Here is a 15853-nt window from a genome sequence, read left to right as displayed (position 1 = left end):
TCCCGTTTGCCTCCCATGAGTGTCGGTGTCGAAACCCGGAGCAGCCTCACCGTGTGGACCTTCGGGCGCCCATCTGGGGCAGGACAAGGGGGCTGGGAGGCTTCGGTGTCTCTGGGGCGGGGTTTCTGCTGCTCTGTGCCCTCTGCCTGCCCCTCTGCCTCTCTGTCTTCGGGATCACCCGGGGCCCACTATGGCTTGGCCTGGGGAAGACTAGAAATCACTGTGTGGTTGGGGGAGTGGCCGTGGTCAGGGCTTCAGGACAGTCTTCCTGCTGGGCGGCCCTTCCAGGGTGGAAATGGGGGAGGAGTTAGCTGTGGCCCCAGAAGGTGGGGTGGTTCCTGATTCCCAGGAGTCCCAGTACTGTCATGGAAACCCGAGTTTCCCACCCCAGGGGGGCTGCAGCGACTGTGGCCATGGGACAGGCCCTGTCTGCTGCCCTGCCTGGAGGGTGTGCTGGCTCTGGGCGGTGCGGGTGGGGCTGGGGGGCTCTTTGGAGGAGGAGCATTGTGAGGATGGGGTCGGGCTGTGGGTGAACACATACATGGCTCTGTGCGTGGCAGGCGTGGGTGTCAGGCTCTTGCTCTCTGTGAATGGAGAAGGAGGAGCGGGACGTGTGTATAGCTCCTAACTGGTGTCACTGGGAGGAAGCAGAGACCCCGCCCACTGCCTGTCTGGGCCCCACTCCTGGCCCTCCGGAGTCTCTGAGACTCCCTTCACTCTTCAGTCCTGCCACAGCAGCTGTGGGTCTCCCGGAGCTGGTCTCACAGGGGCCCGGGCCCTTTCTCCCACACCAGGACCAAAAGAGAAGCTGGGGCTGCCCAAGGAAAGTCCTCAGCAGCTTGGGGAGGCGGCACCAGGGCAGGTCCCAAGTCCCTGCTTTCATGGGAAGCAGTGACACGTTGGTCAGCACATGCCTCACAACACCACCCTGGGGAATGGCTTCCTTTTTCCCTTCAGCGTCACCCCTGGTGACCACGCAGGGGACAGGAGGATGCTGAGAGGGAGCACGTCGTCCTTCCGTGGGGCATCCCCCTGGGTTGCATCCAGGCAGCCGCCTTGGCCGGGAAGCCGGGATGGGAAGGCTGGGATTTTGTTTCAGAAGTCCCTGGTTCTGTGTCCACCTGGCTTCCCCTTAGTGGAGACACAGCCAAGGCCTGTGAGGGAGAGCATTGCCTTTAGGGAAAGCAGAGTGGCAGCACAGTCCTCAGCCCACGGTCTAGGTCAAGCACAGCTTCCAAACTTGAATGTGTACACCAGGAGTCTGGGAATCTTGCTACAATGCAGATGCTGAGCCAGTGGGTCTGGGGTGGGCTGGAGTCTGCATCTCTAGCCAGCTCCTAGGACACCCGCTGCTGCTGGGCCCGGACCCCAGGGTGAGCAGTGAGGCTGTGGGGAGTCTTGGTGTGAGCAGGAGCTGTGGGTGGGTTCCCTTCAAGATGGAGCAGCCGGACCCATTTTTGTGCATCTGATTCACTCCCTAGTCTTTTGGGAAGGAGAATGCTGGAGTCTCCTCCCCTCACAGGAGACTCACAGGGACGGGGGCATCACATGGCCTGCTCACATGCGTGGGGTTCTGGGCCCCCCCGGGGCTGCTCAGCAAACCATGGATTGGATGTATCCCACTGCCCATCTGCAGAGCAAGGTGATTTATGCCTAAGGAACATGGGATAACCAATCCCCTTGAGGACTTTTATTAAGCACCTGCTGTATGCAGACTCATTATCAATGTGCTTGGAAACATAAGAGGAAGAATGGAGAGGAAGAGAATAAGCAACTCTGTGTAGAGAGAGCAACATGAGTGGACAAACTAGGGTCCTAGGCCCAGCCCTGCACTTCCCAGCCGGTGACCATGGGACAAGTCATACTACCCCTCGTAGCCTCAGGTTTTCTGAAATGCACGCAAAGCAGGAATGATCATAGCTGCCTCCCATACTTTTTTGAGAATTAAGCAAAGATGGGCATGGAGGAAACTGGTATACAGTAAGTGCTTAATGCAGGTCAGATTCTTCCATTGTCCACCTGTTTGTCATTTCTTTTGGGCCAACTGAGCACAGGCAGGGGGTGAGACCTTTGGAGCCAGGGGCAGGAGGCATGGAGAGGGAAATGGGGTACCGTGAGAAGGGCTGCCCAGAGGCTAGGTGGGGGTTGAGCATGGGTTTCCCAAGGTGACAGGGCCATGCAAGGCCACAGCATCAGGATTGACTTCCTGCTGAGGACTCTGCTCCCCTTTCCCCCTACCTGCACACAGAGGCCCTGTGAGGGAGGGTCTGGCGAGCATGCCAGGCTAAGCCAGGCCTGGTGGACCTCCTACTCAGCCTCCAGATTCTCTGGCGTGAGTCAGGAGCCCCCAGCCCGCCACACAGACAGAAGGTGCAGTGACTCGAGGGGGGTTGGATGGATGCAATTGAGAGATCACTGAGCAGCCTCGTCCTGGGACAACAGTTAGCCTGGCACTGCCCCATCCATGCAGTCCATGGGCAGGATGACTTTGCGTGCCGGAAGTGTACAAGTCCAGAAACCTTTAAGCCTTTCTCAGAGAGTGCTCTTTCATGCCTTGACACCCCCTGAAAAATACCATCATGAGTTTCTCAGCTCTGGGAAAAACAGGATGATAACAGGAAAAAATACAGTGATGGGATGCCTGTGGTTACTTTGATTATTTGGCTATGCTTTTACCCTGACATCAGAATTCATATCCAATGTCTGGTTGGCTACATGCTAGTGATCTGTTTCTAGAATTGCTCTCTGCTCACTAGAGGTTCAGACGCATAATAGGCACTCAGTAAAGATTTGTTGAGTGGATGAAGCCAGAGGGATTGATTCAGGCCATTGCATTTTCCTTTAGAAAGTCAGTTGAACTTCAGCAGGCCCAGCTGGGATTGAAAATCACCCAGACCCAAATCCCAGGGAGCAGGGGTGGGGCCGATGGCTGCATCCACCGGGGGCTTCCTGTGTGCCTGCCCTGCTTACGGTCTATGCCTTGGTCAGGTCATCTCCTTGTCTCATCACTCCTACGAGGCAGGTGCAGCTGCTGCTCCCATTTTATAGATGTGGAACCTGAGGCTCAGAAATCATGGCCTTGCCCAAGCTCTCCCATCTGGCTACGGGGTGGAGCCAGGATTTGTACTCAGATGGTCTGGCTTGGCCTCCCTGCTCTTCCCTGTCCCCCCCCACCCTGCCCCTCACCAAGACGGAGTCTTGCTCTGTCATCCAGAGCTGGAGTGCAATGATGTGATCTCGGCTCACTGAAAGTTCCGCCTCCCAGGTTCAAGCAATTCTCCTGCCTCAGCCTCCTGAGTAGCTGGGATTACAGGCGTGCACCACCACGCCTGGCTAATTTTTGTATTTTTGGTAGAGACGGGGTTTCACCATGTTGGTCAGGCTGCTCTGAAACTCCTGACCTCAGGTGATCCACCTGCCTTGGCCTCCCAAAGTGCTGGGATTACAGGCGTGAGCCACCACACCCAGCCTCCCCCCAGCTCCTATCCACCCACCACCTGCCCTTCATGCTGTCGAATGGCCAGACCATCTCCCAGGATCCCAGTGACTCCTGGCCTCTCAAGCTGGAGAAAGCCCAGATGGGAGGTTTCCACCCTGCCGTGTGCAATCTTGTCACCAAGGCAGGGCTCACGGTGTCACGTGGGGTGGCAGTGTAGAGGGGGCAAGGATTTAATGAGATGATTCCTTCCAGCCTTTGATCTTCCAAAGTTCCTTGGCAAAAGGAAACATCGCCTAAGGAGGCTGGGGGTGGGGGGGGGAAGCCCAGTGGAGTGGCCTGCCTCGCTTTCTGGTCCCCTCCAGCCCTTAAGTGCTGTCATATCACTGGGAGAGGACGTTTTTCTGAAGCTCTGAGTTGGTGACTCACTCCGGGGGAGGTTTTCAGTGGCATTCAGACTCTGTTGATTTACCAAACCAGTATTCTTGCCGGGTTCATGGTGACATTAACCGTACGGCGGCACGTCAGTTCAGAGGCAAGCTCAGGGGTGGCCACTGATGAGGGGGCAGCAGCGGAGGCTGGATTGTCCTAATGGGCAGGAGGAAGCCACCCTCAGGAGGGTCCTGCCGGGAGCCCCTGATAAGTGTGTTGTTCTTCAAAGTGGCCGGGAAGCACCAATGCTGGGCCAGGGGCGGGGGGCTGAGGGCACTTAGGTTGGATTTCCTGTCCCCTCTTAGCAAAGAGGAGGGGGCTGTAGAGAGACTGAGTGAGGCCGAGAGGGCTCTTTTCTGATCTCTGATTTGGCAGAAAGGGTGGCAGGGCAGAGGGAGATACTGTGTCATGTTTTGGTTCAATAATGTTCTTGTTCTCCCAGCCAAGATAAAGCCCGTGTCCAGTGCTGGGGAGGAAGTCCCCAAGTCAGGAACGAGCTGCAGCATGCTCTGGGAGACTTGTCTGATGGGACAAAATGTGTTCAACTCCAAGGGAGTGGGGAGAGTGATTCTCATTTTCCAGCAGATGGTAGAGTCCACAGAAAGACGAGGGAGTGTGTCTCCGAAGCTCTCCCAGCTGTCTGACAGACTGGGCAAATTATTATTTTACAACCTGGAAAATAAACCATGAGATGTTTCTTTATCCAGCTCGAGCTGAGGAAGACAGCGAGTGGCACTGTGTGCGAAATAAAGTCGGGACCTACTTGTTTCCGACGTTTGGTTTTTGCCTCCCCTTTCTGGATTCAGGCTCGCTGCACCTGGCAGAGATCAGGAGGCTTTGCTGTGCCGGGGGGAGTGAGAGGGGTCGGTCACGTTGGAGGGGCCTGGAGTCAGGCATTTGGGGACATCAGCGTTTTTTGCCAGCTGGGTGGCTATTTCTCAGCTGTTTTGTCTATGACATTGTTTTGACAGCTGATCCGGTCTTTTGTGTCTTGTTTTCTGTTTTTTTTTTTTTTTTTTTTTTTTTTTTTTTAAGGAGGAGCAATGCTTTGCCTAACTTGGGAAGTGCACCATTCTGAGCTTGTCAGGGTGTCAGCCGTATAATTGCCACAGAGCAGCAGAAAAAACAACACAGGCCAGCCAGGCATTTGGCAAGAACTGGAATAGGGGAGAGGGAATTGACCTAATTGAAATGGAGCAGAGGCTGCGGTGGGGCCAGGAGGCAGTCCGAGTTCAGCGGCCTCCAGTGTGCTGCCCCCACCCAGGGCAGACCCGGGCCAGGCTGCAACCAAATGACTTGAAGCTCTGAGGTAGCAAGGCCTTGGGAGTTTGAATCCTGCCCTCCGAGGGGTGGATATTCCAGCAGGATGCACCGGGCCAGTTATGGCAAACGTTGGGTGCTTCTGTTTTCATCGGGAAACGGCTGCTGCCTTGAGGTTGCCAATGCCTTTCTCCAGCCCATCAGCCTTGGCCTTGCTCTGGGGACCCTGCAGGCCCCCATCTGTGGCTCCTGGACAGTTAGCCCTGTCCCCGTAGCAGGCTGGCAGGATCCCAGCCCTGCCTCAGCCACTTCCCTGCTGCTTGGACTTTCCAAGTAACAGCCCCAGCCTCTCTGAGTTGCTGTCTCTCCCCATGAAAATGGAGAAGGCCACTTCCGTGCAGGGAGAGCAGATACAGGAGTTGCCTGTGGCCCCGCATTAGGTGGTGGCTCCAGGGGAGGAATAGCCAGGGCATCAAGAATGCTTTGAAGGAGGCCAGGTGCAGTGGCTCACACCTATAATCCCAGCACTTTGGGAGGCCGAGGCGGGCGGATCACGAGGTCAGGAGATTGAGACCATCCTGGCTGACACGGTGAAACCCCGTCTCTACTAAAAATACAAAAAATTAGCCTGGCGCAGTGGCAGGCGCCTGTAGTCCCAGCTACTTGGGAGGCTGAGGCAGGAGAATGGTGTGAACCTGGGAGGCAGAGCTTGCAGTGAGCCGAGATCACGCCATTGCACTCCAGCCTGAGTGACAGAGCAAGACTCTGTCTCAAAAAAAAAAAAAAAAAAAAAAAAAAGAATGCTTTTGAGGATTGTTTTCCCTCAATGTTTTATTACAAAAATGTTCAAACATATAGAAAAGTTGCAAGAGCTGTATGGGGCAGAACACTGTCCCCCTGGATTCTGCAATGAAGGTTTTGGAATATTTACTATGTTCCATGCCCCTCCGTCCTTGGAGTTCTGGAACTCTGTGGATGGGGAGCTCACATCGGTAGAGCGCCTGCTGTGGCCCAGGAGCCGGGCCCTGCACTGCCTGCACCCGACTGCCACCTCTTCTACTCACACCCCTTCCTGGGCTGCTTGTCCTTGGTTAGGGCCGCTCCCCCACTGCCTCCACTTGGAAACATCATGCAAATAGGAGATGGAGACCTGTACCTGGAAGATTACAGAGGGATCAGGCCACGGAGGAAGGGGGCCAAGTGGTGTGCAGCCCCAGAGCACGAAGCGAGTGACCACCCACGGGTGTCAGCAGAGGCTTCCTGGAGGACGTACCTTTGAGCTGGGACTTGAAGAGCAGGAGAGAGGAGGAGGATGGTGTCAAGGCAGGGGAAGCAGCATGTGTGGTGTGTCTGTGCCCGGGGTGTGTGAGGGGCTGGGCGGTGCTGTCATTGGTTGTAACAGGTCGGTGCAACTGGGCCAGGTGAGGCCCAGATGGGCACAGACCAGCCTAGGGCACTTGCCTTTCTTAGAACCCAGGTATCAGTTTTAGGGAGCTGGTGGACAAGACTGGCCCCTGCCCTCCAAGCTGGGCCTAGCTTGAATCCTGATTTTGAAGTGTTCAGCTTTCCCTCTTGGATGAGGCGAGATCCACAAAGGAACGGGTTAGAGACTGTCGTTCTGCACCTGAACTTAGAATGTGTTGATTGTAGTGAGGCCACAGCAATAACCGAGCCCGTTCTAGGTGCTGCCTGCTGGGCACATTCTTCTCCATGTCTCTGTTGATGCTCTAACCCTGTGACAAGTGTGAACTGTCCTCATCCCATTTCGCATATATGAAACCTGAGGCTCAAAGAAGTTAAGTGGTTTGCCCACAGTCACCCAGTGGCAGCGGCGGGATTCACACCCAGGTCTGTCTGCCTCCAGGGCTGGTGCAGTTCACCACCACGCTGGGCTGCTTCAGAACTGTTCATTGCATTGTGTAGATGTTTTGGAAACATTGGGGGCCGTTTCCAAATGTGGCATGGTCCCTTCCCCAGATTTTTGGCTTCAGGAGCCAGAATGAATGTAGCTTTGTCACCCACCTGGAGACAGCCCAAGTTCCTTCTCTGCAAAGCAGCTGACAGTGGTTGCACCCAGCTGGCAGGGCTGCTATGGGCAGTGGGTGCCAGTGTGCTTGGGGAGGGCCCTCTAAGCCATGCAGCACACCCAGCAGCCAGTGCCGGGTGTTCCTCTCTGAGTTGGTCTGACCTCCCCACTCCGCTGAGATGAACACTTGCTGAGCTCCCAGAAAGTTGCTGTTCACGTCTTCATTCATGCAGGACACACTTGGGACATGTGGTCGCAGGGGAGGGTTGGGATGGGGGCCCCTCTTCTGGCTTTGCCCCAGCTTTTGCTGGAAGCACCTGTGGTGGTTTAGCTGTCCTTTGCTCTGCATACCACTTGCATGAAGAGCGTCACACCCGTGGAGAACCAAGGGGCCTGAGCCCGCCCCCTCCGTGGGAACCGCAGGAGCACAGCTTGCCAAGGGCAGAAGACAGGGCCTGCCCAGAGGGTGTCCTGGGACCGGTAGGGCAGGAGGGTCCTTGCAAGTCACTTGTAGCTGCCTGTGGAGTGCTGGCCCTGCGAGGACAAGGTGCGGGGTGGGATCCTCTGCTTCCTGGATGGCCTCAGCGCTCAGGTGAGAAGTCCTTAGCACGTGTCTGGTGGTGTTGGGGGACAGCCTCTGGGGACACTTCCGGGGGCAGGCATGTTTGTGGATGAGATTCACGGATGGGCTGCAGGGCCCATGAACAGCCCGAGGCTGAATGGGACCTGGTGGGGTAGCCTGGGAAAACCCAAAGACAGGACTGGAGGGAGGGTCCCGGCTTTGGGATTTGCTTGTACTTTCTCCCCCTCGGCATGTGAAATGCACCTCTCTGAGCCTCAGATTTTTCATCTCTGCTATGGGGACAGTGACAACTGGATCTCCCTCTTAGGGTTGCCCTGAGTGGGGAGTGTGCCTGGCGGCGTGGTTGAGGTGCAGGGAGCGGACCAGTGTGCATGGGGCAGAGTGAGGGGGAGGGCATGAGAGAGGAGGGTGGAGGCAAACAGGGCAGGGGCGAGGGGTGAGGCAGAGCCAGCAGGGCCATGTGGGCCCACTGGGGACTTTGGCTTTGATCTAAGGGAGACAGAAGTCCCTGGAGGGTGTTGAGCAGAGGAGGAAGTGATGGGACTTAGGTCTGGGCAGGATCTCTGGCCCCTGGGGCAGGCATGGGTACCAGGGTGAGGGAGGCTTCAGGAGATGCTGCAGAGCTGGGTGCTGGGATCCTGGGCAGAGGCTGCTGGGATGGGCAGGAGCACGTGGGCTGGGGCTGAAGGCACACGGCCCCACCCTCTCTTTTCCCCCAACAATCGCCAGTTCAGATGGGAAGGAGAGAGAGGAGTGGAACCAAAGGAGTGGCTCCAGATGGGAGGGGCCGTGCCCATCTTGGCTGCCTGCAGCAGTTCTTGGAATGGGGAGTTCTTGAAACGGGGAGTTCTTGAAACAGGGAGTGAGGTGGTTGGCGACACCCCTGGACTCTGCCTCTGGCTTCCCACACCCAGGCCACTCCCCTCTTTCACCTTGAGGGAGGAGCAGCCCAAGCAGAGATGTTCACTTCCCTTGGGCTGGCCAGGACTTCTAGATGGCTTGGGTGAGGCTCCCGGTGGAGTATTTGGGCAGCACGGTGGCCAGGAGCCAGGACACAGACTCTGGGGCCAGGCCAGCAGCCTGAATCCCAGCTCCCTCCACATGCACCACCTGTCTTTGTCTTCTCTGGCCTGTGGCTGAGCCTCTCTGTGCTTCAGCTTCCTCACCTGTAAAATGGGGTTATAAAACCTCCCTGCTAGAGGAGTGGCAAGGATTACATCCTTGATGTATGTAACTGTGCACAGAGCCACTTGTATCATTATTGTTTCTTCTTTCTCTGTTGAGAAGGAAAGTGATTTTAGAAAGTCATGGAATTTAGAATCAGGTGACTTGGGTTTCAGCACATGTCTCTTATCTACCCACTTCTCTGCATAGTTAATGCTGCTGATTTTGAATCCAACCCTTTGTACGATGTGTTATCTCAATCCCTTTAACGCTGCAGCCTCTTCACATGTTTTAAAGTTGTGGAGTCTTAATTTTATTAAATTGAATTAGGGCCTCCCCGACAAAAAAGGAGGAGCCTGGAAAGTTCCATCCCCCTCCCACAGCCCATGACATGCTCACATCTCTGTCTTTACTTTCTGTGAGGCTTTACTCTTACCCAGCTCAGCAGTTGCCGGACATCGAGATGTGTAAAAATCCGCCACCTAAAAGGGGTGTGCGGGGTGACTCTGACCATCCCCTTTGACCCTCACCCCTAGGTTGGCCTGCTTGCCCTCCCTGGCACCTACTGTGAGCCAGTCTCTGGGCTAAGGAGTCAACAGATGCCCCCGTACTGGGGCTTCACCACCACCAACTTTCCCTTTCACCAGACGATCCTGCAGGGCTGTGATGGACCACATCAAATAATGGGAACAAAGGTGTCTTGAAAGTGTAATATTGTACGAATGAATGTCTCTCACCTAGGGATGGAATGTGAGGGGTTGCCGCCACCCCTCCATTGTTGATGAGCAATAATAGCAACCTTGATGACTGGCTATTTATTGTAAGCACTTGCCATGATTCTGTGAAGTGGGGAGCATTATTATCTCCATGGTATATATGGGGGAACTGAGGCAAAACAAAGCAAGGGTGGTTGGGAAGGTTGTGGTATGAGCAAGGATCAGCCAAGCATATCCCTATCAGAGCTGTCATCTAGACATTTTTAGGGGACTCTTAGTTTCAGTCCGTTTTGTTCAGAGATCATACTTTGTGTGATTTCAGTCCTTTTAAATTTGTTGAGACCCATTTTAGGGTCTGAGATGCAGTCTATCCTGGAGAATGTTCCGTGTACACTTAAGAAGAATGTTTTCTGCTGTTGGGTGGACTGTTCTGTACATGTTTGATAGGCCTAGTTGGTTTGTAGTCTTGTTTGTGTCTTATATTTCCTTGTTGGTCTGCCTACCTGCTCTGTTTATTATTGAAAGTGAGGTATTGATGTCTCCAATTGTTATTCTTATTTGTTAATTTTTATTTTGATTTAATTATAGTTTTTTTGAGAAAGGGTCTTGCTCTGTCATCCAGGTTGGAGTGCAATGGTGCAATCAGAGCTCACTGTAACCTCAAACTCCTGGGCTCAAGCAATCCTCCCTATCAGCCTCATGAGTAGCTGGGACTACAGGTGTGCACCACCATGCCCAGCTGATTTTTAAAATTTTTGTAGAGATGGTGTCTTGCTTTGTTGCCCAGGCTGGTCTTGAACTCCTGACTTAAAGTTATACTTCCACCTTGGCCTCCCAAAGTTCTGGAATTACAGGCATGAGCTACTGTACCCAGCCTCCAATTATTATTCTTTAATTGTCTCTTTCTTCCTTAATTTCTGTCAGTTTAAACACTTCATGTATTTTGGGGTTCTGTTGTTGAGTGCACAAAAGGTTATTATTGTTGTGTCTTCTTTTTCTTTTTTATTTTTTTTGAGACGGAGTCTTGCTGTGTCACCCAGGCTGGAGTACAGTGGTGCCATCTCGGCTCACTGCAAGCTCCGCCTCCTGGGTTCATGCCATTCTCCTGCCTCAGCCTCCCGAGTAGCTGGGACTACAGGCTCCTGCCACCACGTCTGGCTAATTTTTCGTATTTTTAGTAGAGATGGGGTTTCACCGTGTTAGCCAGGATGGTTTCGATCCCCTGACCTCGTGATCAGCCCACCTCAGCCTCCCAAAGTGCTGGGATTACAGGCATGAGCCACCACGCCCAGCCCTATTATTGTGTCTTCTTAATGGATTGTCCCTTTTATCATTATGAAATGTCCTTCTCAGTCCCTAGTAACAATGTATATCTTAAAGTTTATTTTGTCTGATTTTAGTTATAGCTACTTTAACTCATTTTGGTTACCATTTGTATATCTTTTTCCATCCTTTCATTTTCAGCCTATTTGTGTCTTTGAATCTAAAGTGAATCTCTTGTAGACAGAATGTAGTTGTATTATGTTTTCTATTATCCATTCTACCAGTCTTTGCCTTTTGATTGGAGTGTTTAATCTACATTTAATATAATTATTGATAAGGTGAGATTTATATATACAATTTTGTCATTTATTTTCTGCATCTTATATCTATTTTCTTCCTATATTCCTCCATTACTACCTTCTTTTGTGTTAACTATTTTTCTAGTGTAATATTTTAATCCCCTTGTTTATTTTAGTATATAGGGGACCTTTCAGAGCATGATAAAACTTGTTCTAGAGGCAGAACCTCCCACATGAATTTATCCTCACCCAGAGAGAATAAAGACAGGGGCAGGATCTGGACAGGGAATGTTGACAGTGAAGCCCAGAAAGTGGCAGGCCCCAGAGAAGAAAGCTGGCAAACACAGGTGCAGACCCATCACAAACTGGGTAGGCACCAAGGAACCAGCCCAGAAGCTTCCTGAAGACAAGGGGAGTGAATTATTTGTCTCTGCTATTTCTTTAAGGGGTCCTGCCTCAGGGTAGGTTTTAATGAATATGTATTGAATGAATGAATCAGCAAGTCAATTAATCCATCATTCAGTCACCGTAAGGTTTATTTGTTGGCCTGTAACAAATTAATTAAACATTTAGTTTTAAAACAACCACCATTTTATTATATCTCATTTTGCAGATCAGAGGTTGGGCAGTGCTTGGCTGGGTGGTTCTTCTGTTCCCTATGTTTTTAATGGAATACTCAGTGGTATTCAGCTGCATGATTGGCTGATCTGGAGGGTCCAAAACGACTTCACTCACACATCCGGCACCTTGTGGAGGTGTCTGGGAGGTGGGCTCAGCTGAGACTGCCACCAGAATATCCACATGTGGCTTCTCCAATCTGGTGGCCTAGGGGCCCCCAGAGCCAGTGTTCTAAAAGGCCTGTGTGGGAAATGTGAGGCTTCTTGTGATTGGACCTCTGGAGTCCCAGACATACTTCTGCCACATCTTATTGGTCACGCAGATCACAAGGCCAGCCCAAATTCAAGGGCAGAGGAATTGGCCTCCACCCTCCCTGGGAGAAGGAGGGACAATTTGCAGAGGTCCTTAATCTCCCACATTTGGTTTGCTCAGACTGGGCTCTGTCACTTCTCCCTGTCAAGGCTGCGGAAGTTTCAGAGTGGCCTGCCCACAGGTGGGCCTCGCTCCCCTCTCTCTGCCTGGAATGTGGCTGCTGTCCTGCCCCTGCTGAGCTGGCCTGTCTGTGGAGGATCACTTTTAGGGGTGGCTGTGTCTGTGGCATTCTCATCTTCCAGAGCAGCTCATCAGGAGGCCAGCACCCTGCCCCCCACAACCTGGCTTGGGCACTGAGGATGCTTCTTGGGCAGGGACCTGACCTGTTCCCTGGGTAGGGGATGGGAGTGGGCTGGGCTTCCCAGCCCAGTCACTCAGGGAATGCTTGCCTGTTCTCATCTGCATCCCCCTCACTCCAAGCTGTATTTTTAACTCCTGCCATATGGCAAAGCAGCCAAAACATCCAGAGAGGGAAAGGGGGTCTGGAGAAAATCATCCCTGCAGTGCGATGTGGATGGCTGCAGTCACTGAGAGCGCTGCCTTCTCAGTCCCACCTTCTCCCTGAGCACTAAGGACACCCAAGCAGCCTCGCTCCTGCCTGGCTGTCGTCCTGCCCTGAGGGCAGGAGTGTTGGCCTGAGTTCCTCTCTTGCTCACAAGAGTGCCCTGAGCCGGTGGCCAAGTGCCTGCTGGTTGCCTACCCCAACCCCCTGCACTGCAGCTCACTCCGGATGCCTGCCATTTTCACACTTCATGCTGTTCCCGCTGCCTGGAATACCCAGCCCACACCTCTGTTCTTGCCTTTTGAAACCCCGCACGTCCTCTGAGGACTGACTCTGATCTCAGAACGTTTCATGGTGCTGACACGTGTTAGAATAAATGTCTTCTCTTTATGTTGATTATATTTATTCCTGTAGCCCTGGTCCCTCTGCAGGCTTCCTGTCTTGTTACCACTGGGGGCCTGGGGGCTTGCATCTTCCCTCTCTGGGGCAGGCAGCAGCCATACCTTGCTCATCTTTGGAAGCCCTCCTACCAAACTGCCCAAATTTAAAATGACATATTTTGAATGAATCGACGATTGTTACATGGACAAGGGTCTCCAGAGTGGAATGCACACACCCCTAGGGGCAAAGGACTTGATTCTTTGAGGTGCAGGGAAAACGTGTACAATTAAGATTGTATTTGCACTTATTATTTAATTTCCTCCTGAAACATCTTTTTGGTGGGCCCTTTTACGGATATTCGTGACATCAGTGCAGTCTCATCTGCACATGACTTATAAAGACACAGGTTCATGGTGGGAGTCTTGCTCAACCCTTCTGATAGGGGAGCCTCATCAGAAAGTCTAGTGGCAGTGGCCTGGACCACAGCTGAGTTTTCACTGCTCTCTCCTGGAGACAGCAGCTTCCCTGGCAATAAGGGTCTCTTCTATGAGATGGGCTGAAGTAAGTATGTATTAAGCACCTGTTGTGTGCTAGCTGATCCTTTTTTATCTGTGCAGCCCCATTATGAAGATGAGAAAACTGAGGCTCAAAGAGGTGAAGTTCTTGTCTAGGGTTGTACAGCTAGTAAATGGCAAGGACCAGACATGGACCTGGTCTGTGGGACTCCCAAACCAGTGCTCTTGGCATCCTGCTTCGTGTCTGGTGGCCCTGTGGCCCTCCTCTGGCTGAGCTCTTGGGCTCTGCTCAGGGGTGTGCATTGGCCGTGACAGAACCTGGCCTCTGTGTTTCTGTGGTTTCTGCAAAGGGTGGTCCTGCTAGCAGTGGTGTGATGCTTGTCCCTCACGGACAGGACTCACCAAGCTGCTTCTTTTCCATCCCCCCAAATGTGAAAGCTCCAGACTGAGGATGTGGGTGGATCTGGAGGAGAGCTGGTTAAGGGGGGGCACAGCCTTCTTGTTTAAGAAATTTGCTGACTCTGGCCAGGCGCGGTGGTTCACACCTGTAATCCTAGCACTTTGGGAGGCCGAGGCGGGTGGATCACGAGGTCAGGAGATCGAGACCATCCTGGCTAACACGGTGAAACCCCGTCTCTACTAAAAATACAAAAAATTAGCCGGGTGAGGTGGTGGGCACCTGTAGTCCCAGCTACTTGGGAGGCTGAGGCAGGAGAATGGCGTGAACCCGGGAGGCGGAGCTTGCAGTGAGCGGAGATGGTGCCCCTGCACTCCAGCCTGGGCGACAGAGCGAGACTCTGTCTAAAAAAAAAAAAAAAGAAAAAGAAAAAAAAAAGAAATTTGCTGACTCTGGCCCCAGAAGGGCACAGGGCTGGGGGGACTTGTTTAATCTCCGTTTTTCCAGATTTTCATTCATCAGATGCCAAAAATCCAGTCCTCTTTGGCTGGAGGCAACCAGAGGGATGGAAAACGCGGCTTTTATTTCATCAGAATGTCAGCCTCTCTTCTTTGTGTGGATTGTTTTTATTGTAAAATGTAGTTTCTTTTATCTCCACTGAACTGGTACCAGGTCTGTCCTCGGCTGTTCAGGCTGCCATAACAAATGCCATAAACTATGTGGCTTATAAACAATAGACATTTATTTCTCACGGTTCTGGAGGCTGGGAAGTCCAAGGTCAAGGTGCCAGCAGGTTCAGTGTCTTTCAAGGGCCCTACTTTCCAGTTTATAGATGGTGTCTTCTTGCTGTCCTCACATGGTTGGAGAGGCGAGGAGCTTTCTGGGCCTCTTTTATAAAGCACTTATCCCAATCAGGAGGGCTCTGCCCTCATGACCTCACCACCTCCCAGAGGCCCCACCTCCCAACACCATCACCCTGGGGATGAGGAGTTCAACACATGAACCTGGTGGGGAGAACACAGACATTCAGACCACAGCAAGGTCCAATCGAGTAAGCGGTTATGGAGCCTCTTATGTGTGGGGGTTAGGGGTGCAGCCAGGGGTCAGGGGTGCAGCGGGGGCCCAGGGCGTTCCTGCCGTCCACTTCATAGCCTGGTGGGGGAGCAGATGTGCCCCTGGAGCACCCCGTTTTGGGGGCTGAGATAAGAGCTTGCTAGAAGGACCGCCTGGCTGGAGGAGGCAGCGAGCGTTGTTAGGGAGGACGGTGAGCCCCTAATTGTCCTGGCCTCCACTTTTGTGCTATCCTTCAGGGACCCTGGGGATTCAGCATGTGGGGTCTCCCTGTGCCTACCTTGGAGAGGGTTGGCTTTTGGTTTCTTCTTAAGGTGACGGCTTCAGCGGTTTTCCGTATTTCTCCCTGAATAGTTCTCCTTTGCTTGATTTTATTGAAAAAAAAAAAAAGCTGCTTCCTCCCCATCATCGGAGCTGCTGACTGCTGCTCTGTGCACGCTGTGTGGGTTTCCCTGAGCCTCCTGGTTTAATGAGAAAGTCCCTGCGCAGGGTCTGGGCCTCAGGGGCCTGTGGGCTCCCCGTCACCCAGCTGCACTGCAGGCTGAGCTTGACTTTTAGCCTGTAAGAGGCTGGCGTTTGGGCTAGTTAGAACTATGCTCCTTGGGCATCTTCAATACTTTCGAGACCTCCAGGGAAAGCTGTGTCTCAGGCTGCTTGATGCCACATGGAGTCCAAGGGCGATGGCATTGAGATGGAACACTGTCATCTCTCCTGCCACAATGTGCCAAGTGCAGTTTGACTAAGACAAAATTGTGGAGGTGGTGGGTGCATGCAGTCTGGGTTTGGATACTGGCTCCATTCTGAGCTCCGGGGGAGTG

At 53.0% G+C, this 15853-nt stretch overlaps 1 protein-coding gene across 6 annotated transcripts in view, besides 3 other annotated features; it reads left to right on the top strand.

Annotated features, from left to right (window-relative positions):
* Positions 1-15853, top strand: part of IQSEC1 (IQ motif and Sec7 domain ArfGEF 1) — a 386215-nt gene that overhangs the window by 1251 nt on the left and 369111 nt on the right. The window lies entirely within an intron of this gene.
* Positions 4003-4504: an enhancer, noted in NCBI's record as "H3K4me1 hESC enhancer chr3:13319003-13319504 (GRCh37/hg19 assembly coordinates)". NCBI's record gives its function as "activates a minimal SCP1, AML or CMV promoter by ChIP-STARR-seq in naive H9 embryonic stem cells {active_cell/tissue: H9 hESC(naive)}" and the evidence as "EXISTENCE:reporter gene assay evidence [ECO:0000049][PMID:30033119]".
* Positions 4589-4873: a silencer, noted in NCBI's record as "fragment chr3:13318634-13318918 (GRCh37/hg19 assembly coordinates)". NCBI's record gives its function as "represses an EF-1alpha promoter that drives an FKBP-Casp9 reporter gene in an ReSE screen in HepG2 liver carcinoma cells {active_cell/tissue: HepG2}" and the evidence as "EXISTENCE:reporter gene assay evidence [ECO:0000049][PMID:32094911]".
* Positions 4900-5400: an enhancer, noted in NCBI's record as "H3K4me1 hESC enhancer chr3:13318107-13318607 (GRCh37/hg19 assembly coordinates)". NCBI's record gives its function as "activates a minimal SCP1, AML or CMV promoter by ChIP-STARR-seq in primed H9 embryonic stem cells {active_cell/tissue: H9 hESC(primed)}" and the evidence as "EXISTENCE:reporter gene assay evidence [ECO:0000049][PMID:30033119]".

The sequence above is a fragment of the Homo sapiens genome, chromosome 3, assembly GCF_000001405.40.
Source record: "Homo sapiens chromosome 3, GRCh38.p14 Primary Assembly".
Lineage (NCBI taxonomy): Eukaryota > Metazoa > Chordata > Mammalia > Primates > Hominidae > Homo > Homo sapiens.
Note: the sequence above shows the minus strand (reverse complement) of the source record. Positions and strands in the feature narration are given on the sequence as shown.